At 35.0% G+C, this 26,485-nt stretch overlaps 1 protein-coding gene across 1 annotated transcript in view; it reads right to left on the bottom strand.

Annotated features, from left to right (window-relative positions):
- Positions 1–26,485, bottom strand: part of ADGRB3 (adhesion G protein-coupled receptor B3) — a 754,225-nt gene that overhangs the window by 33,724 nt on the left and 694,016 nt on the right. Inside the window, exons 23-27 of the mRNA NM_001704.3 lie at positions 25,211–25,277; positions 22,775–22,860; positions 16,769–16,867; positions 16,279–16,450; positions 1,455–1,550 (exon numbers count right to left, since the gene is read on the bottom strand). Of these exons, the coding sequence (NP_001695.2) occupies positions 1,455–1,550; positions 16,279–16,450; positions 16,769–16,867; positions 22,775–22,860; positions 25,211–25,277 (520 nt within the window). The remainder of the gene's footprint in view (positions 1–1,454; positions 1,551–16,278; positions 16,451–16,768; positions 16,868–22,774; positions 22,861–25,210; positions 25,278–26,485) is intronic.

Below are 26,485 nucleotides of genomic sequence, written 5' to 3'. Positions count from 1 at the left end.
ATGAAGACCTCAAGTGTCTTTTACTAATCAGATTATCTGAAGTTTACAGATATCTAACTTGGCAGTACAAGTTTATTGTTTTGTTCATAGGAAATTTCTCTATGTATAATTAGATTGTTTTCAACAGTGTTTTCTAGAGCCCAAATGTTAAATAAAATCAAAGGAAACATAGCACACAATTTTAATAAGATAATACAATACCCAGTGTCATCTTCAGTCTGGAAACTGATTACTATATATTAGAAGGATAGAATTTTAAGGCAATTCTCTAACCATAATAAAGACATCAGAATGTGAATTATTATGAATATTCTTAAATAATTATGTTTGTTATTGGCATTTTTAAACATTCAATTTGAATATATTGCTTGTAATGTAACATCTTAGAATCCAGCTTTGTCAAACTAGGTTAAACTAGGCTCAAACTAGGCTCTTCTAATGATTCATTTTCACTCAAATGTGGCAAAAAGCTTTCAGGTTTAGGACTTAAAACTGAAGATTAAACCATACTCATCTGGTCGAGAACCTTCTGGGGTTTAGTTGTGACCTCATATTTTCCTAAAACTTTTATTTTAAGCAAATCAATTAATGTTTTGAAATGATAAAATTTCATTATCTTGATCAGGGTCTTCCAATCAAATGCCTTTCCCTATTAATATTTTAAATCAGAGATTTTGGCTATCTATTTGTTTTTAGTAAGGAGTTGATTATTCTTTGTAAAGTCTTAGTTACTAATGTATCATCTAGTTTATTATTGTTGCCTAGTTCAAAAAAGTTAATAATAAATTGAATATACTGTAAAAGTAAAACTGTCCTATTTAATTCCTGCTTTAAATGACAGAGTTTAAATCTCATCTTATTTCTAAAATACATCAAAGTGGTTATACCTAAAGTACACTTTGATTCCAATAATAACCAGAGCTCATGTACAATAACTGGTCTTTCACTAAAAGAGTGGCTACTCCTTACACTTTAGAACAGTGGTTCTCATCTTAGGCTGCATACTGGAATCACCAATACCTAGGTCCTACTCCCAATATTTTGATTTTAATTGGTCTGTGGTGTAGCTCCCCTGATGATTCCAATGTTTCACTAAGGCCAAGAACCACTGCTTTAAGACTAGAAGTGCAGGTTCATAGTGTTCTGATCTGTAAAAGACATCCACATGATCCTATGCATAAATCATTAGCCCTAATTCTACGCAAGGAGGAACATACTTCACAGTGTTGCATAGGACTCCCACACTCAACACCCCAGGGAGCCAACAACATGTCCTGGACTCTGAAGCCATCTGGAAATAATACTTCTGTGGTACCAGAGTTCACAGTCTATTAATGAACTGAAGCCAAAGTCAATCAAAATGAAAATTTTACACTATTTTACTCATAAGGATTTCTTTTATTCCCTTGAGAAATCATGAGTTAATTAACAATCGGGGAAAAATAAAAACTCACCATGATTTGAGCATGCCCATTAGGAAACGAACTCGAAGAATCTGCATTGATGGGATCCTGACAGTTTCTCAATCGGCATCTAAATGCATCCTGAACCTGTGGGGAGGGGGAACACATTAATTTTCTTCTCTCTTAATAATGACAAGATACTGTCTATCTTGGCAATCAGCTCTGAGGCAGTGGTTATCACTGATTTTACTATCTTATACTGATTTTGTTTACTTCTTTTTAAAAAAACTTATTATTATTACTACTATTATTTTTTGAGATGGAATTTCACTCTTGTTGCCCAGGCTGGAGTGCAATGGTGCGATCCTGCCTCACTGCAACCTCCGCTTCCCAGGTTCAAGTGATTTTCCTGCCTCAGCCTCTCAAGTAGCTGGGATTACAGGCATGCACCACCACGCCCGACTAATATTGTATTTTTAGTAGAGATGGGGTTTCTCCATGTTGGTCAGGCTGGTCTCGAACTTCTGACCTCAGGTGATCTGCCCACCTCGGCCCCTCAAAGTGCTGGGATTACAGGCATGAGCCACCGTGCCCTGCCTTGTTTACTTTTTAATACAAATGCTGGTGTACCTGGACTTTTGCTGTATGCCAAGGAAATTTATTGCTTGCCATAACCTATAGAGGGAAGTGCTGGGAACTCCTTAGCTATCAAAATAGCTATATCTGGCTCAACACTAATAATTCTTGCCAGAAGGCAGATTTATTCCACTGTTGTACGTAATATGTGTGTCTTTTAAGGGAGATTTACTATTTGCTATGGCATTATCTTCATAACAGCTTTAAATATTACGAAAAATGAGATTATTCAATGATCTTTTGACTGAAATTGATTTGGGATGTTTCTTTTTATGTCTCATGTAAGAAATCTTTGAGTAGACTATCTCTTGTCTCCCTTCAAGTACTATGTGCCCTGATTTAAAACAAAACATAATGAAACAAAAGGGAAACAAAACAGCACTACTTCTGGTGGACTGACTTGCCAATAAAGTCACTTTGCAAAGCCAAACTTCCTTAATATCCAAATATCCATTTATAATCAAATTCTGAAGAAAGAACAAACACATCTCACGAAAGTTCTAAGAACATTACATTAATTCTTTTGTTAAAAAACAAGTCAAGGAACATGAATAGCTGAGTAACAAACACAAAAAGCAATTGATAGTTATTCTGTTCTTACAGTGTCTCAGCATCAGCCTGTTCTTTCCACTTCCAGAGGTTCATCAAGCTCCCCACGAGCTGTTGATGGACATCTTTCCAAGTAGCTACTTATTCCAAGTCAATGTCAATGTCATTTCACTACTTTGTTTTTCTAACTTCATATTATTGACTTTCCCTTTCTTGTTTATTACACTCTGTTTTATTGGATTAAAAAACAAATCATAGATGATGTTTTCCCTATTTTACTGATGCATCATTATAGGGACTAATAAGGTTAACATATAGAGATTTTCACTTTTGAGAAGCAGTGATATAAGATCTCTTGTCACCATTTTGATGTGAGATATTCATAATATACCTGTTGGCCAGGAAACAAAACAAAACAAAACAAAACTGAGCCTATTACATTGTTTTTAGCTTCCTCCTTGTCCTCTCACTCATTTCATAGTCATTAGTAGCCTCTCTCCTAAATTGCCACATTGCAGGATTTGGAAACTGACACTAAGTCTAATCACAACCAAAGACTGGCCAACTGGCCCAATAATGAGACCTCTGTCCACTTCTATTTCTCCACCTCCGGTCCTAATCCTACTGATGTGGCCATAATGTCTGTGAAGTAAAGGAATGGGGATAGACTCAGTGTTCTCTGACCTGTCTTCCATTCTATTACTCTAATATTTCTAAATTTAGAATTTCTTTGAAAAAGAATGCATTACCTGATACCAAGCAAGGTAATTTCTTATTTCCTTTTTCAAACACATCAGTTAAGTACAGACGTAGTGAAATCTAGTCTGATCATCTTTTCCTGAAGAACTGAATAAATATTTATAACTAAATAATCTAGCTTTTCCTGGTAAAGGAGACACAACTGGGATAAAATTAGATTTTTCAGATGTGAAGGCTTTCAAGCTCCTCCTTTTTAGATTAAGAAGTTGTTGTATGTTCTAAAGAGAGACATTAGTAATCGAAAATTGGTAATGAGTCTTTGTCAGATCATTACTTTTTCTATTATGCAGACACTTGATTTGGGGAAACCATTAAGAAAGTATATCTGTTTTTAGAAAAAAAATCCTAGAAACCAATGTCAGAAAAATAGGTACATATTAACTTTCTGTTTGCACCTCAAGGCAACTATTAAAGAAAGACATTTTACAAAGGAAGATAAACTGTGTTAGCAATGGTGCCTTCTGGGAGCTTGTCTCATGAAGATTTCTATCAGACATATTTCTAGGTCAGCATATATAAAATGAGAAATATTTTGGCAATACCAAAGATTAATTTGAATGGTCCTTGCTAACCACTCCCAATTTTCAGACCTTCAAAGCATAGTTACCAATATTTTTGGCTGACTATGAAATATGGAAATACAATTTTTGTAGGTTTCTTTTCAAAATCAACTCTTAGTTGCTTGAAGGAGATGTAAAAGAAATCCACGTCTTTTCAGAACACACACACATATAAAATCAATACCTTTCACTACCAAACTCCCAAATGGGACAATAGATTAAGGGCATTTCTACACTGAATGATGATGTCAGCTTCATGAATCATTAAATGCTATTCAGAAGAAATATAAATCAAAAAAGAATAAATATTCTCCAGTAAATTCAAGGTCATTTTAATGGTCATATGTCACAATTTAAGTGCTAGATTCTCTGACACTTTTAGTGCCTCTGATACCTCTAATTTAGAAAGATTTGCATAAGAAATTCTACTTTATTCTAAATGCTCCATTTTATTTATTTTTTTAATCTTAAAAACGTATCTGGGGGCAGGGCGTGGTGGCTCATGCCTGCAATTCCAGCACTTTGGGAGGCAAGGCGGGCGGAACATGAGGTCAGGAGTTCGAGACCAGCCTGGCGAACATGGCAAAACCCCATCTCTACTAAAAAAATACAAAAATTAGCAGGGCGTGGTGGCAGGTGCCTGTAATCCCAGCTACCTGGGGGCTGAGGGAGGAGAATTGCTTGAACTCGGGAGGCGAAGGTTGCAGTGAGCCGAGATTGTGCCATTGTACTCCAGCCTGGGTGACAAGAGCAAGACTATGTCTCAAAAAAAAAAAAAAAGTATCTAGGGAATCTGGATGAATTAGTCTATATTAGTCTTAAATATTTGTCCAACACTGTCAGGAAAGAATGATTAGATTAGATTTCATAGTGCACATTTCTTATCACAGAATAGAATACTTCAGGCAAGATGGTATCTGGAAAACGCATTCACAGCTATTTGAACGTGTTTGGATAATTAATTGAATTTTGTATCTGGTAAACTAAGAGAGACTTGATTTTGGTGAATTGATGTGAATTGTGCTGATGAAGAATAATTGAGTTTTTGTAAAAAGCAAGTCTATGTTTCAAACAAGCAGAAAACGCAAAAAATAAAAAAAATAAAATAAAATAAGACAGATTCTAGATCTTGCTTTCTCAACCAGAATATTAAAATATTCTGTGCCAACAGTCATATTTCTAATGCCTGGCAATAATATTATTCTTTGACTTACCATTTGGAAAATCACTTATTTTAGGTAACAACTAAATTTAAGATTTATTAGATATTAAAATCATTGCATCTTTGAGTTCTTGTGAAATTAACATTAAAAAAATTACTTGATACCAGTAAATGCAATTTTTTTACTAAACCTATAGGAAACAATTTAATATTTAAGATAAATTATGGCACAGTTAAAATCTAGACTTCAAATTTTTTCTTTTTATAATAATCTGTAATAGATCTTTCACCTGAATTGATAGGCAGAGGGTCAAATATCTGCAGGAGTAGCAAGGAACAGATATGTAACTAATATTGGGATATTTAGGAGACTTTAAGGCAATCTAATGGCATGTTGTAAAATGAAAAAAAAAAAGAATGGCGAGAAACATCACACAATAAGGTGAAGAAAAAACAATAAGCTATCAAGGTTGTCTCCTGAAAAGAATCTAACCATGCACTTCCAAAGTTATTTTGACTGGCTCCTGCTGGGGGTTGCTCTAAAAACTCCTGAAAAAGCTATAAATGCTGATGGATTTTTGGATGAGACATGAGTTCAAAGAGGTTTGCAGGGGTGTGTCTCGCTCTTGTCTTCTGAACCAGGAGAGGGATTCACTTTATATCAACAGCAGCAGGCTGAGAGCTTCTGGACTGGTCTTCGCTCTGAAGGCAGCTGGTAGCGCGTCATTGTGGAAGCTGGTGCCAGAGTTAGAGACTGCTAGGGAAGAGCACCGAGCGATGTTTGGCAGTGTTGCAATTCAGACAAACCTCACAGGAAAGAGCTCCACAGTTTGAAACGGGCTCTGTATTTAGCTACTGAGCAAATCAGACCCTGAATCTTCACTTTTAAGAAGACAGTTTTACCTACAGTAATTCTTCTTGATTTCCTATTCAAGAGGATCATTCTAAGCCAGGAAAATAAGTAAAGTTACATTCTTGTAATTATTTGTAATTTTTCCTTCGGGGGAGAAGAGTTTCTTATGTGGCCTTTTATTTTTTGAATCTCATTTCTACCATTGTTTCATATTTTAACAAACAGCTCAGCTTTTCATAATCATTAAATTCTATACAATCTAATTATGAAATGAAAGACTTTTCAATTTCATATGTATTATGATAGTTGATATGACAATTGACATGAATGAATTATGAGTGACTTCACATTATTAATATATTAAATGACTTTGCTGATAGCAAAGTCAATAAACAAAAAGTGAAAATCTGCCATTTACTATACAATGAAAGAAAAAGATGCATTCCAGATGCAAATTTCAGTCCCAATGACTTTCTATTAGAATCCCTTAATATCTAAAGGATCTATCACTTAATCTCTAAAATTGTTATACCTCTTTACCTTCAAATTACTTTTTATATCAGTTTGAGGAGGTCATATAAGCTTCTCTAAATTATATGTCATGTCCATGATCTGAAAAATATGTAGCAGCATTTCTTCAGCATGAGAATAGAAAGGAAGGAAAGGGACATTATGTGTCATACACCAGGATCCCATGCCTTCTCAGGTGATATTTCATTTCAGCCTCATGCCATCCCCTTTGTGGCAGACATTATTTCAGTGTCACAGAAGAGGACCTTGAAGCTTAGAGAGCTTAAGTAACTTGCTCAAGATCATAAAAATAACAAGTAGCAGAGCTGGGAATGGAATCAGGTCACTTGACTTGAAAGCTAGTCTTCATTCCAATGTACCACTCTATTGTCTTACTGAACAAAGCATAAGATAGTTTAAGTGAAGGAATAAACCAAAACAATTATCTCCAACTGGTCAGAAATTGAGTGGCTGTACCATAATTTCCAACCTTTTATGATTTAGATAAAAAATAAGACATGAGTTAATAAGTTTTCAGTTTGAACCTTTATTTAAGACATATTGAACCTCCAGTTATTAGTTTAACAATATTGCAAGGACAATCTAGGAGTGGCAAGGAGAGAAAGGTGAAATTTGTCCATCCACATATCCACATGTCTGTGTCCACCTACTCTTCTTCTTTTTTTTTTTTGGCAGAGTCTTGCTCTGTCATGCAGGCTGGAGTGCAGTGGCACAATCTCAGCTCACTGCAACCTCCACCTCCTGGGTTCAAGTGATTCTCTGCCACAGCCTCATGAGTAGCTGGGACTACAGGCGCCTGCCACCATGCCCGGCTAATTTTTTTTTTTTTTTTTTTTGCATTTTTTAGTAAAGACAGGGTTTCACCATGTTGGCCAGGCTGGTCTTGAACTCCTGATCTCAGGTGATCCACCCGCCTCAGCCTCCCAAAGTGCTGGGATTGCAGGCGTGAGCCACTGTGCCCAGCCTACTCTTCTTGACTAGAGACAGAAGCACCATGCTGCTACCCAGAGTAGGGAACAGCTGGGACGGCAGTGTGAGGATCCTGCAGAAGAGCTGTGGGTAACAGCAAGCAATGGTTTGATGTTAACGGCAGGCATGACAGAGTTTGTCAATTTCTGTTACAAACTCTCTGTCTGAGCTTTTTTACTGATGTCATCTCACCCATCTTATTTCATACTCTTGTTAACCCCTTAAATCTCTGCATGGACTAGGAGAACCATGTGTGAAAATCAAGACTGATGTAAATATTCATAATATAATAGCAATTTTGCTAAGTCAGGAAAGGTTAATCTGGAAGGAGAATTAGAATTTACATTTCCCTGCCTAAGAAGTGGGATGACTTTTGGGTCAAATGAGGTTGGTGAATTCTTGGAAAGGTATATAAGAATATGAGCATATTGTCCTTGCCTGTGTGATGCCCATGCTCTTATTTAAAAGCAGTTTTGTGCGCCTCATTCTCTGTTTTGGTAAAATCCAGGTTTATTTTTATACCTGCAGACATTATCCCATTTCAAGGTACTGCATTCTATTTTTTTTTTCTTTTTAGAGATGAGGCCTCACTCTGTCACCCAGGCTAGAGTGCAGTGGCTCAATCATGGCTCACTGCAGTCTTGACCTCCTGAGCTCAAACAACCCTACTACCTTCTCCTCCTGAATAGCTGGTAATACAGGTGCACACCACCACACCTGGCTAAATGTTTTTTAAATTTTTTTTTGTAGAGATGTGGGTCTCACTGTGTTGCCCAGGCTGGTCTAAAAGTCCAGGCCTCAAGCAATCCTCCCATCTTGGCTCCCAAAAAAAGTGCTAGGATTACAGGCATGAGCCACTGTGCCTGGCCCCACATCCTATTTTATTACAAATGAAACAACAAAAAAATCTGAAATGTGTTTCTTTTTGAACTTTCAATCAGGCTGACAAGGATAAAGCTTTTAGCAACCAACTCCCACCTTGCTTAATTCTTTTATTTATTATTATTATAATTTAAGTTTTGGGATAACTGTGCAGAACGTGCAGGTTTGTTACATAGGTATACATGTGCCATGGTGGTTTGCTGCACCCATCAACCCATCATCTACATTAGGTATTTCTCCTAATGCTATCCCTCCCCTAGGCCCCCACCTCCCGACAGGCCCTGGTGTGTGATGCTCCCCTCCCTGTGTCCATGTGTTCTCATTGTTCAACTCCCACTTATGAATGAGAACGTGCAGTGTTTGGTTTTCAGTCCCTGTGTTAGTTCGCTGAGAATGATGGTTTCCAGCTTCATCCATGTCCCTGCAAAGGAAATGAAACCATCCTTTTTATGGCTGCGTAGTATTCCATGGTGTGTATGTGCCACATTTTCTTTATCCATTCTATCATTGATGGGCATTTGGGTTAGTTCCAAGTCTTTGCTATTGTGAACAGTGCTGCAATAAACACAGGTGTACATGTGTCTTTATAGCAAGCTGAGTGATGTATAATCCTTTCGGTATGTACCCCAGTAATGGGATTGCTGGGTCAAATGGTATTTCTGGTTCTACATCCTTGAGGAGTCATCACACTGTCTTCCACAATGGTTGAGCTAATTTACACTCCCACCAACAGTGTAAAAGCCTTCCTATTTCTCCACATCCTCTCCAGCATCTGTTGTTTCCTGACTTTTTAATGATCACCATTCTAACTGGCATGAGACGGTATCTCACTGAGGTTTTGATTTGCATTTCTCTAATGACTAGTGATGATGAGCTATTTTTCATATGTTTGTTGGCTGCATAAATGTCTTCTTTTGAAAAGTGTCTGTTCATATCCTTTCCTCACTTTTTGATAGAGTTGTTTATTTCTTGTAAATTTGTTTAAGTTCCTTGTAGATTCTGGATATTAGCCCTCTGTCAGTTGGATAGATTGCAAAAATTTTCTCCCATTCCATAGGTCGGCCTCAGTTCTGTTCCATTAGTCTATATATCTGTTTTGGTACCAGTACCATGCTGTTTTGGTTACTGTAGGCTTGTAGTATAGTTTGAAGTCAGGTAGCATGATGCCTCCAGCTTTGTTCTTTTTGCTTAGGATTGTCTTGGCTATACAGGCTCTTTTTTGGTTCCATGTGAAATTTAAAGTAGTTTTTTCTAATTCTGTGAAGAAAGTCAATGGTAGCTTGATAGGGATAGCATTGAATCTATAAATTACTTCGGGTAGTTTTCATGATATTGATTCTTCCTATCCATGAGCATGGAATGTTTTTCCATTTGTTTGTGTCCTCTCTTATTTCCTTGAGCAGTGGTTTGTAGTTCTCCTTGAAGAGGTCCTTTACAACCCTTGTAAGTTGTATTTTATTCTCTTTGTAGCAATTGTAAATGGGAGTTCACTCATAATTTGGCTCTCTGTTTGTCTATTATTGGTGTATAGGAATGCTTGTGATTTTTGCACATTAATTTTGTATCTAGAGACTTTGCTGAAGTTGCTTATCAGCTGAAGAAGGTTTGGGGCTGAGACTGCAGGGTTTTCTAAATATGCAATCATGTCATCTGCAAAGAGAGACAATTTGACTTCCTCTCTTCCTGTTTGAATACCCTTTATTTCTTTCTCTTGCCCAATTGCCCTGGCCAGAAGTTTCAATACTATGTTGAATAGGAGTGGTGAGAGAGGGCATCTTTATCTAGTGCCAGTTTTCAAAGGGAATGCTTCCAGCTTTTGCCCATTCAGTATGATATTGGCTGTGGGTTTGTCATAAATAGCTCTTATTATTTTGAGCTACGTTCCATCAGTACCTAGTTTATTGAGAATTGTTAGCATGAAGGGGTTTTGAATTTTATCGAAGGCCTTTTCTGCATCTATTGAGATAATCATGTGGTTTTTGTCATTGGTTCTGTTTTTTATGTGATGGATTACATTTATTGATTTGTGTATTTTGAACCAGACTTGCATCCCAGGGATGAAGCCAATTTGATCAAAGTGGGTAAGTTTTTTGATGTGCTGTTGGATTCAGTTTGCCAGTAGTTTATTGAGGATGTTTACATTGATATTCATCAGGGAAATTGGCCTGAAGTTTTCTTCTGAGCAAGCTCAAAATGCTAGAATCAGTACAACCTCAAAATGTTAGAATCAGTACAACCACCTTCTAAGCAAGCTCAAAATGTTAGAATCAGTACCCTGACCCTCCCTGCCCTGAGCTACTTATGAACTTTGAAATCTATTTATCTTTCTTTACGAGACCACTCATAATGGCCACTTATCATGGTCATTGAACATTCTGACCAGAAAGCACAAAACATCACTTAGTCAATGCTTTGTCCTCAAATGTCATCAGTATTGTTTTTCTTTTGCTGCTTCAGTCATAGCTTTCTAAAAAAAAAAAAAATCACTAGGGTCCAGGATCACATAATTTGCTTTATGCCTCCATGTGCTTCATATGGTCCCAGAGAAGAATCAAACTCTCTGCTATTCACCACAGGCCCCACTCCATGGAAACCATATGCCCAGTAACCTTTCTCCATCTTCCTCTACCAGAAACCTTCACTTCCCTAATCTTCCAACCTCATTGTTCCCTTAGGAACCCATGAGTTTTGAAGTCTTTTATCATCTCCTCCTTCCTCTTCAAAGACCAACTAAAACAGCTGACCCATCCTGCAGTAAAGGAAGGCACAGATATACCCTTCCATGCTAATGAGTCATACTCAATTTCCCTGTAAGTAGTCAAACCTGGATGTTCATGTAACTCTCCATCTGAACTATATTATATGCAATATGGACCCTTTACATATTGTTGTCTAGTTATTTCATCACTACTGGCTTCATTTTTATAATGATTTACTTTGGAATATTACTGGTTTTAGATTAGACAGGTAAGGATGCTTGTCTTTTTTACATATTCACTGCCATGTGCATGTAAATCATTTTGTTTATCTGTACGCCTTGTGGAAATAATAAGACTAAATAGGAAATAGGCTAAAAAAGGGTGCGAGTGGGAGAGGGAAGAAAGAAAAGTTTTTTATTTTAAGCATTTCACTACAAAATGACTTCACAGGTTTGGATACAGATTTTGGGACCTCATCTGGTGCAGCCTAGACCTCCTGCCAGTGCTTGGGAAAGAGAAAAGAGGAGCTTGGCCCTGTTAGTGATGCTACAGAACAGCCACAGGATTCTCACACACTGATATAACAAAATTATCCATTTAAGCACTTTCCTTTTATCCTTCCATTTAGTGAAAGAGTTTTATTGTAGCTTGTTTTGTATCACGATCTTGTGATTTTCCCCCTCTGACATAGAGCTGTAAGACTGTCTTAGAGCCAGGCACAGCCAGAGACAGAAAGATGAGAAGAATGTGCAGGCACCAAGAAAGTGGTTTCCTAGCAACAGTAACTATTTCAAAGGTTTCATAACTCTTGTGTCCTTCCATTTCCATAGCAATGCGGGGAATAGTAAATAGTATATTTTGTTATCTGTTTAATTCAAATAAATTCCAATCAACCAATGATGGATAAATGAAGAAACACCTCCATACTCATTGTATTCAATTCTGTCTTATTAGCTGTTAAACATATTAGCTTCTAAGATTTAGGTTCTGTTGCTAAAACTATGTATTGTGATGAATCAGATGGCTTCTTTTTTTTTGTTCTTATTTCCTCTTTTTGTCTTTTGTTTTTTTCTCCAGAGAGATTTAGTAAAGTAATTCAAAAGAAAAGTTATTCCAGAAGAAGAAACTGTATTTTCAAGAATATAAATTTTATAAAGTTTAAATATTAAGATTTTAGGTCTGAAGGTCAGAACAAATAGTTATGCAAACATTCCAAATTTTTTTAGTGTAATATAATTGATTTGGCAGGACAGAGTAAATCATTTCTCCCTTTTCTTCTGATTTGAAATGAGTGTAAAATTGGACCCACTAAAAGAGTAAACTATCGCAAGAACAAAAAACCAAACACCGCGTATTCTCACTCATAGGTGGGAATTGAACAATGAGATCACATGGACACAGGAAGGGGAATATCACACTCTGGGGACTGTGGTGGGGTGGGGGGAGGGGGAAGGGATAGCACTGGGAGATATACCTAATGCTAGATGACGAGTTAGTGGGTGCAGCGCACCAGCATGGCACATGTATACATATGTAACTAACCTGCACAATGTGCACATGTACCCTAAAACTTAAAGTATAATAAAAAAAAAAAGAATTACAAAGGCAGGAAAAAAAAATAAAAAAAAATAAAAAAAATAAAATAAATTAGGCTCCATACACAACACATTAAAAATATCACAGTTATAGTATTTCACTTATTTTCTCCTTCTTAAACTTCAAGGCTATATTCTTCCCCTGTGTAGATCCACCTCCTCCACAGAAATAATAAATATGGGTAAAGCCTTCTGAATTCATATTGGGACAGTCATTAGAGACCAAATTATGTTAGTGTCTGTCAAAAATACATAGAAATAGAAATATATATATATCCAGTCTCTAAATTAAAAAATATATATTTTACATTGCTTATATATTTTAAGAAAGAAAAGTCCACAGGAATTTTAGTGAAGCAAATATTTTAAAGTGAAGAGCAGTAGAGATAAAACTGTATTTCTAGGATCCAATTATAAATTATCAAGTAGATTAATAGATATGAATCACTACCTAATGTTTTACATATAGCTATCTATTCCATTTTCTTTGGTATGTCTTTATGAAATTATTGTTCAGTGGAGACACAGAGGATATGGGAAGATACTTCTCTTCTCTTGGACCATGGTAATGTCAGGGCAATGTGATCACAAGTAATCTGAGATATACCCATTGCTAGTGTCAGGCAATATACCTTTAGAAGGTCAAAAAGAATTTTGGTGTTCCAAATGAGGCCTCCTATGATATCTTCCTTGGGATCTGTAAAATCCTTCTAAATAAGGTGTTTAAATGAAATCTTCCTCTAGGAATTCTGAAGCAGACTTGCCCTATACCTGAAATCTGCTCTGTGTATTTACAGTAATGTTATAGGGTATTTTTAAGGTTCAATTAAAAAAAAGAAATATGTGATTTGCCATTTCAGTGATGGAGCTAAAGAGTGTTATGACACTCTGCTGTTAATTTATTTGCTATAAAATTATTCAACTTGAACTAATAATTGAAAATGCAACAACAGAGATGTATCCATATTTTTATTTTCCATTAGTACAGAAAACATGTATTTAGAGACACCTACTTTAGCAGAAGCATTTATTATATGATTGATTTAATTACTTGTAAATCATTGTTTTTGACAGTTAATAGTCCAATTAGCAAGTACGAAAAAGTTCTGAGGGAAATGTAGAATTTTTGTGCCAAGTATTTTTCTTCATGTAAACAGCAAACATTTGATAATTAGCCATCATAATATCTGCCACTTTAAAACCTGCATATTTTGATGATAGCTTAAAACTATCTATCAAGCTTATTCTGAAGAAAAAGAGAAGCTTATATAGTGACGCAGCACTGTTCTACTCCTAAACACCTAAGGTATTAGTATCTTCTAAAAACTGCATGTAGGTATATCATCATGTATCTTACTTAAAGCCTGAAATACTTCATCCTTAATCATCAATCAAAAACATATTATGTGTCTACTCATTTAGAACAATCTTGTTACTTAATTATTAGCAATAATATTAATATAGAAGACCCATAAGATAGTTATAGTTGGAGAACATAAGCTAAATTATTATTCAATTTCCTCTTAATTTCTACTCCTTTGGTCTATAAATAATTCAATACTTGGAAGATTTTTAATGCTGATATTCTAGGTAGAAACTTGCTAAGGGAATAGTAAGGCTTGGCAACAGTAAACGACATCAGACTTTTTAAATGCTAAAATACTCTCCTCCCCTTGCAATGTGAAGTTACTGTTAATTGGTTTTCATTGAATTTCTACATAGAATGTTCTTAGAATACATGTGGGTTTATTATGGACATCTGTATCTTATTAAGACATTTATGCAGCCAACAAATATATGAAAAATAGATCATCATCACTGGTCATTAGAGAAATGCAAATCAAAACCACAATGAAATACCATCTCATGCCAGTTAGAAAGGCGATCATTAAAAAGTCAGGAAAGAATAGATGCTGGAGAGGATGTGGAGAAATAAAAAGGCTTTTACACTGTTGGTGGGAGTGTAAATTAGCTCAACCATTGTGGAAGACAGTGTGATGATTCCTCAAGGATCTAGAACTAGAAATACCATTTGACCCAGCATTCCCATTACTGGGTATATACCCAAAGGATTATACATCATTCTCCTATAAAGACACATGCACACATATGTTTATTGCGGCACTGTTCACAATAGCAAAAACTTGGAACCAATCCAAATGCCCATCAGTGATAGACTGGATAAAGAAAATGTGGCACATATACACCATGGAATGCTCTGCAGCTATTGAAAAAGGATGAGTTCATGTCATTTGCAGGGACATGGATGAAGTTGGAAACCATCATTCTCAGCAAACTAACACAGGAACAGAAAACCAAACACTGCATGTCCTTATTCATTAGTGGGAGTTGAACAATGAGAACACACGGACACAGGGAGGGTAACAACACACACCAGGTCCTGTCAAGGGTGGGGGGCTAGAGGAGGGATGGCATTAGGAGAAATACCTAATGTAGATGACAGGTTGATGGGTGCAGCAAACCACCATGGCACATGTATACCTATGTAACAAACCTGCACGTTCTGCACATGTATCTCAGAACTTAAAGAATAATAAAAAATAAAATAAAATAGCTCAGAAATATTGTTCTTCCCATCTGATAAATCAGGTAAAAGCCTCTAGTTATCTCTGCACATCACTGCAAAACTATAGGGTTTATACTCATACGTACATGTGTTTTTTTGCAATGTGCACATTGCAATAAAGTTCTCAAACAAGCTAGATAATGCAAAATGACAGAGTAGACTGTTTTCTCAAAGTGACTAGCATGGCACTATGTCATGTGTGTTTTTGTCACCAGTCATCCCTAGAGTAAATGCTAAAATGACTCATAAACCTTATAAATACTCTCAGTGCTTGCAAGCATTCAAAATAATTTTCACACAGGTTGGAAAACAACATTTTATTTCTAAACAACTCAAGTCTGAAATCTCTCACTGTCCTGGATGGATCTGGTGCTAGTTAGTGTCTGCATTCATGAAATATGACTTATTTCTTCCCCTACTACTGACAATAAACCTCAATCATGATCCAGAGAAATGCTGATATGATAATACCTCTACAGTTCTTGGAGATAATCACTGCCTATCATGTCTCACTGTATACATTTTTAGTATTTTTCTAAGAGTAAACATCCATATCAAAAGCAATAATCCATAGCAATCATAACCAAAACTTAGTATAGAGACAAAAGATCTAAGCATTCATCTTCAATGCTTTCTGCTTAAAATAGTATTAGTTAATATATGCAATGAGGGTGTGCTGTGTGAAGAAACATGAGTTAGGGAATAAGCTTAAGAACTATCACTGCATTATGCTCATGAACTGTGTCTTTAAAACTTATGCCTCTATGCCCTCTTATTCACTAGTTTTTCTAACAAGACTTATTTATACAAATCACTCCATGTAGCTTCTTTTAAATCTATTCTTCCTGGCTTTTGACACCTCTGGTTGTGTTTTTCCTGGCATAGTCCCATCTGTTCTAATCTGTCACTTTCAGAGTGCTGGGGGCTCTCCCAAGCTGTGTCTTAAAGCATTCCTTCAGCTTTGATTCCCAAGTGATTGTCAATGGAGGAGACCAGCTTTAATCTGAACATCAAGATATTAAAAGATCATTCTTTTTAGCAAGGAAATACCATTCCAACCATCACTGTTCTCTATCACAAGAATGCTTCTCACCTCTCTCCGAAGAATGCAGTGGACCATGACTATAACAAAGCCTTGCAATGAATCAAACACAGCAAAAAGTATTTGAAACAATATGGAGCGTTTATCTGTCATGGCCAGAACCGCAGACATCCACGTCAAAGCCAGAAGGGGCAACACCACACAGGAGCTCCAAAGAGACGCCCTGTTGAGACCAAGAAAGTAACATTACGTAGCTATACATCACACCCCAGGCCATAGCCAAACCCCCATTCAACAAAGCATTTTTGTATGTGGTTCCAAGACCATTAACTTGGAAACCACAAAGCAGATGACATTTGAGAGTCTTATTTTTTTTTTTATATACTATCCCACAATAGCTATAAAGACAGTTGCCAATTATAAATATTTAAATATACTCTCTGGTCTTGTATTAGAAAACACAATTTTTTTTCATCATAGCATTTTCTCACATGCACTGTAAAAGATTTGTAACAAGAAGATGTAAATGATTGGGACTAACATGGCGTTACTGGCGGTGGTGGCTGACAAAGCTGTTGTTGAAACTACTCCACACTTGGCACATTTGAGCGTCAAACCGCTATGAGGCTCACTCATCTGACTGCAAACAAACAGAACACCCACAAAAAGAACAAAATATTGAATTGTCACCAAAAAAAAATTGCTGCTTCAAGTTAGCTTTTAAATACGATTTCATGCAGAAAAGTATATTTATCAAAAATGTATGCTCTAGGTTGTTGTAAAGATGCATTTATACTACAAATTATCTTTGTAACATTTACCTTTTAATATGGGCCTTTGTTGCATGCAAAACATATTTCCATCATTACACCATAAGTGGCCCTTGTGTCTATTGATCAAAGTTGCTCAATACACTGAGTTAAACATAAGCATGTGCTTCTGTAGACATACAGTGAAAACCCTTTATTCAGACCCCAATAATCAAACATGTGAGGACTCCTAGCCCTGAGGATGTTCATTGTTAATTGCAGAAGGCATATATATCTGTGAAAACCTTCTGAAATGTAAATAATTATCTCAGAAGTCCAACATAGGAAGAAATGGATTTTAGGAGTCTTCAATTATTTGTTGAAGATGTAATTTTTTTCTCAACAGATTCATATTTTGAAATTTCTTATAATATGTATCGTCCACATTTTAGGATGATCTGAATATAGGGGCTGATGAAATTTGATGAAATATTAGTTGATAATAAAAGAGTGATAGTTTTCTGCTTTAATAAAACACATTTAACATAGTCATTAAGTTCAAAATATTATTTCTGAACATTTGTCATAGACTCCAACCTCCTAGTATTTAAATGGTCTATTCTTGTCTAGAGGATTTTGCACATAAATTCAGATTCAAACAATTCATACTCCATCTACTACATTATAGAAGCAAAGTTACATTATATGGAAAAACTTTACACACATTTTGCTTTAGAAAACTGTACCTTGAAAATTACAGATTTATTAGAAAATAAACCTTTTAGGAAAAACCAAAAAGAAATTACTTGAATTAAAAATTCCAAACAACTTGGAATAATGCTCTGAGGTGTGCATAGTCCATTCCTATGTGGTATCTATGTCTAAAATGATTACTCTGTAGGTTTTCTTAAAGAATCTTATAGCGGAGTTGCATTACTATGTGTATAAAAAAAGTGGCAGAAGAGAGAAAGTTGTAAGATGCTCATAATTTAGAACTCTGGTTTATTTTAAATAAGGGTACTCACTTGTGAATAGTGCTGATATGAGATAATAAATCTGAAAGTGATTAATTAAGTAGATTGATCAGCAGATCCTGTGAGAAAAATCAAAGCTTTCAGACATGAGTGTGGGGGTGGGGAATATGACACTAAATCCCTCGCTTTACTGATCCACTCCAGGGCACATGTAGTTGCCAAATGTGTCCAAATGTTTCAAAATAATATGTAAACATTAGTCTATCCAGTTTAGTTTAGGAATGCCTTATTGGACACGCCGATGTGTACATCCCAAAGGAGTACATAGCCTAGTATTCTCCACAGTGGCTGCACATCAGCTGTCTATCTGGCCCCAACCACAAAGACTCTAATTTAATAGGACTTAGGCATCTGCTTTTTTTAAAGCTCCATAGATTATGCTGATGAACAAACAGGAACAAGTACCACTTCTCTAACTAAACATTTGCATTTCTTTAATCTTGTTAAATCTGATCAGATTAATATGAAAAAGGCATGGATTAGTTATATATTGTTTCCTTTATCACAGAAGATAGGCTGTATGGTGTTCACACTTCAAACACTGATGCAGTTGTCTTTCTTAATCTAAGAATATGTTGCCTCTAGGCTCTGAAACAAGATCGAAAGCCAAATATTACTAAAAAATAATTTTAAGTACATAGTGTAAGTATTTTAGACCTGAAAACTGTGATTTAATCTAAGTATGGGCCTGTCTGAAAATAAATTTTAAGCCATTACTTAAAATGCTTATTTGTCTTTATTTGATATTTATTTGAGTCTAACTAGAAGACCTATGCCTACTTCCCTTAGTCAGGGCTAACTGTTAAAAACTATGCTTGATGTTAACTGGTAGGACACCTTTGGCATTCTATTACTGGATGTGCATGAAGTAGAATAAAGATAAGTTACCTAGAGACATGTAATGTTTTTTCCTAGTTTATGTGACCACTATAGAAATTAATATAATATGAAAAACTCATAGTCTAGATGCTAAATTGAGTTGCTGCATTGAAAAATGAGATCTTGTTTCTTTATTATAGAAGAAATTATTCATTTATAAAATTAAAAGTTCAAACAGTAAAAAAAACCTTGAGTTGTCCATACATCTAAATTTAACCAATATACCCACCAGGGCACCAGGGTAGGATCACATTATAGAAGCAAAGTCACATTAAATAGAAAAACTTTACACACATTACTCTTCAGGTAGTTCTGTCTGCTCCAGTTATTACTGTGGGTCTTAAAATCTACAAGTTCTAGTTTCCCTTCTCCATGTTATTTTTCCTTTTTCTTTAAAGAAAAAAAGTCTGACTGATTTATTGTTAATAACATAAAATATTCCCTGGAAAGGAAATGCGCCAGCCTCTCTTTAAAAAAAAAAAATCACATGAAATTTGTAAAGGGTACTAGTAAGTCATAGTTTCCTTAGTTTCAGGTACATAAGACAAAGACGTTTAAGGCAGTAGATAAGAAAATTCCACTGCAGAAAAATAGAGAAACTTAAATTTTCTGCTTAAGATGTTCTAAAAATATACATGCCATTTTTAATCCTGATTTTATTCACTCTATCATTTTATTTAAGATGTGTTGTATTTACAATAAATTCCTTCTTGGTAAACTAATGGGTACTAGGCTTAATACCTGAGTATAAAATAATCTGTACAACAAATCCCTGAGACACAAGTTTATCTGTGTAAAAAGCCTGTACTTCTACTCCTGAACTTAAAAGTTAAAAAGAAAAAAGAAAAAAGAATTTCAGTAGAAAAAATATTAATATAGTTTGTGTATTATAAAACTTGTTAAACTATTGTATTATTTATTAAACATTCACTTATTAATTCCTTATAAATATTTATTGAGCACAAACTATATGGTTGGCTGTTTCTAATAACTGATTATAAAAAAGAAGAAAGGGAACAAAGAAACAGAAAAAATGGGAGAAGGAACATCTTGGTACAATATTTGGTTTTTAATAACAACCTAGTTGTAAAACAAATGCTTGATATATGTGTATATTCAAATAAGCTGAAATGATTTTTACAATTAGGAGGATTGGTTGTCAAGTCGACCAATTAGTTTCCTGCTTAATGTTTCTTTAGTTAATTTTGATTATTTCTTCTTCACTGGGGACTGTTCTTCACTGTCCTCACTACTTTTCTGTGAACTAAAATTATTCAAACCTCTATAGCTTCCAAAAATTTCCTTCAATCACACTTTGGAATGGAGTACAAATTTCAATCTATATTTGCTTAAGCTAAAACAGTACTTTATATTAGAAATATAATTTGAAAACCCAAAGTAATTAATTTGTTAATAGTTCTTTTCTGCTTTGGACAGTAGCCAACATTCTGCTTTTATAACATAAGTTAACATTTCTGTTTCTCTAGGAGTGGCCTTTGAACCAGAAAAACACCCACTCAGTTTTGCCAGTGAAACATAAGTAACTTCTAAGAATATGTTTAGAATAACTTATTTGTTAATATGTAGATTGGAATGGATAATTTCTAAATTCATAATAAGACACTATTGTCATTTCTTCTAAACCTATACGATCTCTTATAAAGAGCTATATGAATTAAACTGGGCTTTACACATAAAATAATTAAATAAGAAAAAATAAGGGTATTCACTTGTTTTTTAAATTTTTTATTAAATTTTTTTTTAATTAAATCCTCAATATCATATTCATTTCAATGATCTCATCTCTTTTTATGACCTTCATGTCTTGGATGGTGGAATCATGGATTCTTGATTGACAGTTAGAGACCTTCAAAAACAACCTAATCTGTTCAGGCTGGCTTCTCAGAAGAGCAGCCACTGTTGAGTGAATGCTTGCTATATGTTAGATACTCTAAAGTGTGCTTTATACACATTATATTTTCATATACTCTATGAGGCAGGGGTTATTTTCCCCATTTAACAGATGAGGAGACTGAGTTGCAAAAAGTAACACACCCAAAGGCACATAGACACAGCTAGTAAATTGCAGAGCTTCATCTTAACCACTAAAGAGTCCCATTTTATTGTCGATGTTGTTTAAATTATGTAAGTTTATACTACTAGCAGCAGAACTGAGTTTCTATCCCAGTACTCAGTCTGATCAGTATATTCTTACATGATTAATCTGGACAGAAATAACTGAAGAAGCTTACTTCAATTTCCACCACATGTGGCGTAATAACAAGAGTAATTGTGTGAAAATTTTGTGTTCAAATGATCTAGAAAGCTGTGCTTGTACTACGTTCAAGTCTACATATTTAAGGTTGTTACAGAAACTTGTCTGCAGTGAAAAAAGCCTCTAAATGAGAGAAGTGATCCCCGCTCAGGAAGAAACTTTCAGTCATGTTTTTATTACGCTATTGCATTTCTAATGTTTTACATAAATGATATCAAATTTTTATATTGAAAACCATTAAATTTAGTCTTTTGCTAGGGAAAATAAATACCCAGATTATCTTATTGTATAAATCATTACATAGGTTATAAGAACACAAAGGACTTAAAATTTCATAAGTAACTGATCAATTAGTAGGACTATTAAATAATACCACAAATTATGGAAGAAAAGAATATTACATGGGTAAGTTTTGAATGAGGTTACAGTTCAATGGAAAGGAGAAAGCTGTAAACTTTCTATAGGGAAGGACACAAAGAAAAAACAAAGGCATTAATACTTCAAGTGTCAACAAATTTATATGATAAAGGATGATGTCACCTTAAAAAGCTACTAACAATCTATATATGAGACGTTACTGTCATTATATATACATATTTTTTATTTTATTTTATTTTATTTTATTTTATTTTATTTTATTTTATTTTATTTTATTTTATTTTATTTTATTTTATTTTATTTTGTTTTTTGAGACAGAGTCTCGCTCTGTCGCCCAGGCTGGAGTGCAGTGGCGCGATCTTGGCTCTCTGCAAGCTCCGCCTCCCAGGTTCACGCCATTCTCCTGCCTCAGCCTCCCGAGTAGCTGGGACTACAGGCGCCCACCACCTCGCCCGGCTAATTTTTTTGCATTTTTAGTAGAGACGGGGTTTCACTGTGGTCTCGATCTCGTGATCTGCCCACCTCAGCCTCCCAAAGTGCTGGGATTACAGGTGTCAGCCACCGTGCCCGGCCAGATATATATTATAATATATAATATGTCATCAGATATTTATATATTATAATAACAGTAAAATTAAAGGAGATGCTTTTCTAAATTTTATGAGGTTAAAGTGTGAAAATTATGAATAACTCTTTTTAGCCAGTTAGATTAAAAATGTCATAAAGAATGAAAATATAAGACCTAAATAGTGCTTGATAAGTAATTATTCCAAGTGAAGATTTTTTTCCTGATATATACAATTAGTCAAAGAAAATATAGTATTTTGCCCTGTTTAGGTTTGCTTGTTCTGATTCTGTTCTGTCACATACCAACACTGTGTTCAATCTACCTCCTGTTCTTTGTGACCAAAACCAGGAAGGCTTTGAAAACCCTTACCTAACGACAACTATTGCAAGTAAAGCCTTAATGTTTAACGTTCTTATCTGACAAGCAGGCAATATGCACAAGTACACTCCGAATTTCTTCATGGTCTGTTATAGTAGTTTTAGATTTTTGGTCGTATTGCTTAAAAATAGCACATTGGAAACTTTTATATAGCAGAATCTACTGGACACACTAGTACATCAATAACAAAATTCAAGGCAGAGTCAAACGCAGTCAGTGATGGTCTGAAATTGGAGTATGGGATTCACTGATAAATAACCTTCAAAATCCACCAATTGCAGCTTACCCGGCTCTGTGTTTGAGCTTTTTATCTAGGATTCCATCTCTGGAAACAAGTTTATTAAATACCAAAATGCCAATCACCATGTTGACCTGTCAAACAGAAACAAAGTTGACCTTTCAATGATATTGAAGGGAATCAGGTCCCTGTTTCTCCTGAAAATCCTATTTTTATCAATTCATAACCACCGTATCACTAGTAGTGGTATGAAGCACTCTCAAACATTTTATAAGTGAGCAGAGGCATACGGAACAATTTAACAGTGGTGTGCTACTTTAAAGTTGTAAAGTACATTAAGTTCATTTAATTTCCATGCTTTGCAGTTAACACTGGGGAAATTAACCTTCAATTGCCTGAATTTTAAATGGTACCATACTATGCCAATCTGGCATTCTTCTGTCTGAGTCAACCCTGAGTAAAATCATTTGGCTAAAGCAGTTTTACCCTATGCCCATGAGCCAGGAGATTCTGAATCTTAGAGTATGAGGTTAGGGTGAGCCCTGGCAGCAAAAGGTGCTGATGATTTGTCATTATTCCCAACACAGAGGACAGAATGCTTAAATTCCTCATGCTGTGTGGTTATTCTTTTCTGTGGAAGGGGAGCATTTTGATGTACCATGCTTTTCTAAGCAGAAAGGAAAGCCTATTCAATTCACCAGAATCTTTTTCACAATGGACACTAGTGCCAATTTTTAAAATATGCTCTAGTGTACAGTTCTATCATTTTCTTTCTAAGACTTTCTTATTCTCACTTAAAAGGTCTTTTGCATGATACATGAAATGAAATCACACATATTTTTCCTTTTTCAAGTAAAACTGTAAAAACTGCATAGATGTCTATTTGTACCAGCTTATGATGAGCCCCGACAGTTCTCTAATCTACCAACACTTTCTGATCAAGGAATCCAGTCCAATGAGTAAATGAAAAATATGTTCTTCTTTTTGCCTTTCTGGCCTCTTTCCAATCTTGGTGTAACCCTGCCCTGCTGCCAATGAAGATGGTGAATATAAAGCTAAAATGTGTCCAGTTGCTAACGTAAGGAAGATGCAAAACATACCTATTAAGTATGGACTTAGGAAGAGTCACTCTTCATAGTTTCCTGACAAGATACCACTTAATCAAGAGAATACTTATTCATCTATGTACCTCTCATTTAAACTAAGAGAAAAAGTGTATTCTATGGATTCTAGTAATCTACAACTTAATCATAAGGGAATTTGTCACCCCTCCAAAGACCATACTTTGGTGTTTCAATTATATACACACTGTGTTTCTTCATTTTAGTGTTATATTGGCATTAACCTAGAAGCTTAGGGAAATAGTTCAGTTGATTAAATAAAAATTCAAAGCAGCAGACAAAAAAGGTGTCTAATAGTTTTGATTTCCCTTTGCACTAAGATTCTTGCCTTGATTTTATTTTTCTTGCAAATTATAGACAGTTTCTGCTCCCTGTTACAGCTTAGTTGAGGGAGAACAAGCTTAAAGGGAGAAAAAAACAGACATATCAGAATTAGTAGGATGTCACTACCTTCCAATTTTTTGAATGAGTCATTCAAGAAACCAAAGAGTAACTTTCCAATTAGAAATATAATTGTATAGCAATATGAATATTTATATTTAATTTAGACAGTTTCTTTCCTCCCTTATTTTCTTTAAAGATTTATTGGGCAAGAAAAACTTGTAATCAATAAATCCAAAAGGAGAAAGAGAAAGGCAAATTGGAAGGAAATATTTCACATTACCGTAGTTTAAAATTTTAAACAATTATTTTGTGGTTTCAAAAGAGAAATTTAAAATCCTTATCTATAACATATGGGAATGATTCTTAAACAGAGATGATTTTGACCCCCCGGGACCATTGGAAAATGTCTGAAGATGTTTTTGAGTGTTATGACTAGGGGGTACTACTGGTATGTAGTAGGTAGAGAAGAAGGATGCTGCGGAACCTGGTAAAACACATAAGACGGCCTCTGCAACAAACAAACATATGATCCAAAATATCAGTATCACTGAGGTCGAGAATATATTTCCTTTAGATATTTGATAGGGGCAGCATTAAAGAGATTTCCCTATTAATAACCATACGTAATAACCATATGTATTGTACAGAATAGTGTAAAGGTGAAATTATGGTAAATGATGAGATTCTATACATTAAAGAGGAAGAATTCATTAAAACTTACTCAAACTTTTTCACAAATCTGAAATTACTGTAAGAGAAATACCACACTCCCAGTTTAATATTCTTCAGTATTCAAAATAAGAATATTTTAGAATAATAAAGGGCTGAATAATAATTTATATTCAATTAGAATAATAGTCCATTGAACTTTAAAATTTCTACACAAGAACTACATTATCAAAATTGCCACTCTAATTGAAAGAAAGTAGTCTTTTTTTTTTTTCCTAAGAAAACAAAATAGGTTGATTTTGATGTTTACCAGGACAACAGCGGCTGCAGGTCCCACAAAAGCATAGAGTAGTCCTCCTTCAAGAGAGAGCCAGCAGCTGAAAATGACATTAGATAAGAACTAACAAAAATTAGTGACAAGTATTAGACCACTAACGTGTGATACAAACAACTTAGATTATACATTTTGCCTTGGAATTTTGGCACATGTTAAACATTTGTAATAAAAAATACATAGAAGATGTAGAAAAAAACTAGAATTATATCATTTCATAAGTAAGAAATACTATATATATCTAACTCAAAAGAAAGTTTTATTACAAGGTTTTACTTTCAGGCAGTTGAAACATTTTAGACAAATTACTATTGCAATGAGGTTTCTATATTTACTGTCATTACAAAGTTGAGTATTATTTACATTTTATAAAATGCTGCTTTATATCCATTATGGATTTTTTCAAATGTACTTTAAAGCAAGACCAGTGTATTTTTTTTTAGAGTTTTAGACGTGCCATTTACCTGCTCTTCCTCGAGGTCATTGAAATATTGGGAGAAATTGGTTTAAAAGCCATCATTGCAGGGAATGGATAAGCTACATTTGCATGCTATTTTTCTTCTAATTTTACTTTTTCACCAAACTACTAAGAAAATTCTCTAAAGATAAGCTTTTGAATAAAAATAAGTGCAGCTGTGTTTGTTTCAATGCCTAAATTCACCAAGAGATGTAGGTTTGCATTGATAGAGACAAGATAATCCATTTGGGGAGAAACAGTCTCTCACAGCAGAGGGAAATGCAGAGGGAATGGGGCTGACACTGGATGCTTTGCAGGGTGGCACATCTGCTCATGCAGAATCCAGGAAAGTGAAAATGAGGGAAGTGTGAGGGGCTGCTGGTGCAAAAAGTCATGGCCACCATTTCATGCACCAGTTTTTTGACATTTGACCCTTTAACTATTTCTTCTCAGCTTACAGCATCAGCATGCTGCCTTCAAAAGCAGTAACAATGAACAGTAGCTGCTCTATATCTGTTCTAACAATAAACTGCTCTATGTTAATTGTGATGGTGGTTACACGAGTTATGTATTTCGCAAAACTCACAGAACTATACACTTAATAGGGTGAATGCTACTCTATGTAAATTATATCTTAAACATATTTACCTAGTATGTAAGGTAATTATATATGTACACAAAGAGATACTATATCAGCATAGATATACCCAAATATGTGTATGTATATTCAAAGCCTGCATTTAGTTATTGCTCCTTGACATAACAGCAGAAAGATAAAACCGTACTTTTCCACT

Source organism: Homo sapiens, chromosome 6 (assembly GCF_000001405.40).
Source record: "Homo sapiens chromosome 6, GRCh38.p14 Primary Assembly".
In the NCBI taxonomy this organism is placed as follows: Eukaryota; Metazoa; Chordata; class Mammalia; order Primates; family Hominidae; genus Homo; species Homo sapiens.
Note: the sequence above shows the minus strand (reverse complement) of the source record. Positions and strands in the feature narration are given on the sequence as shown.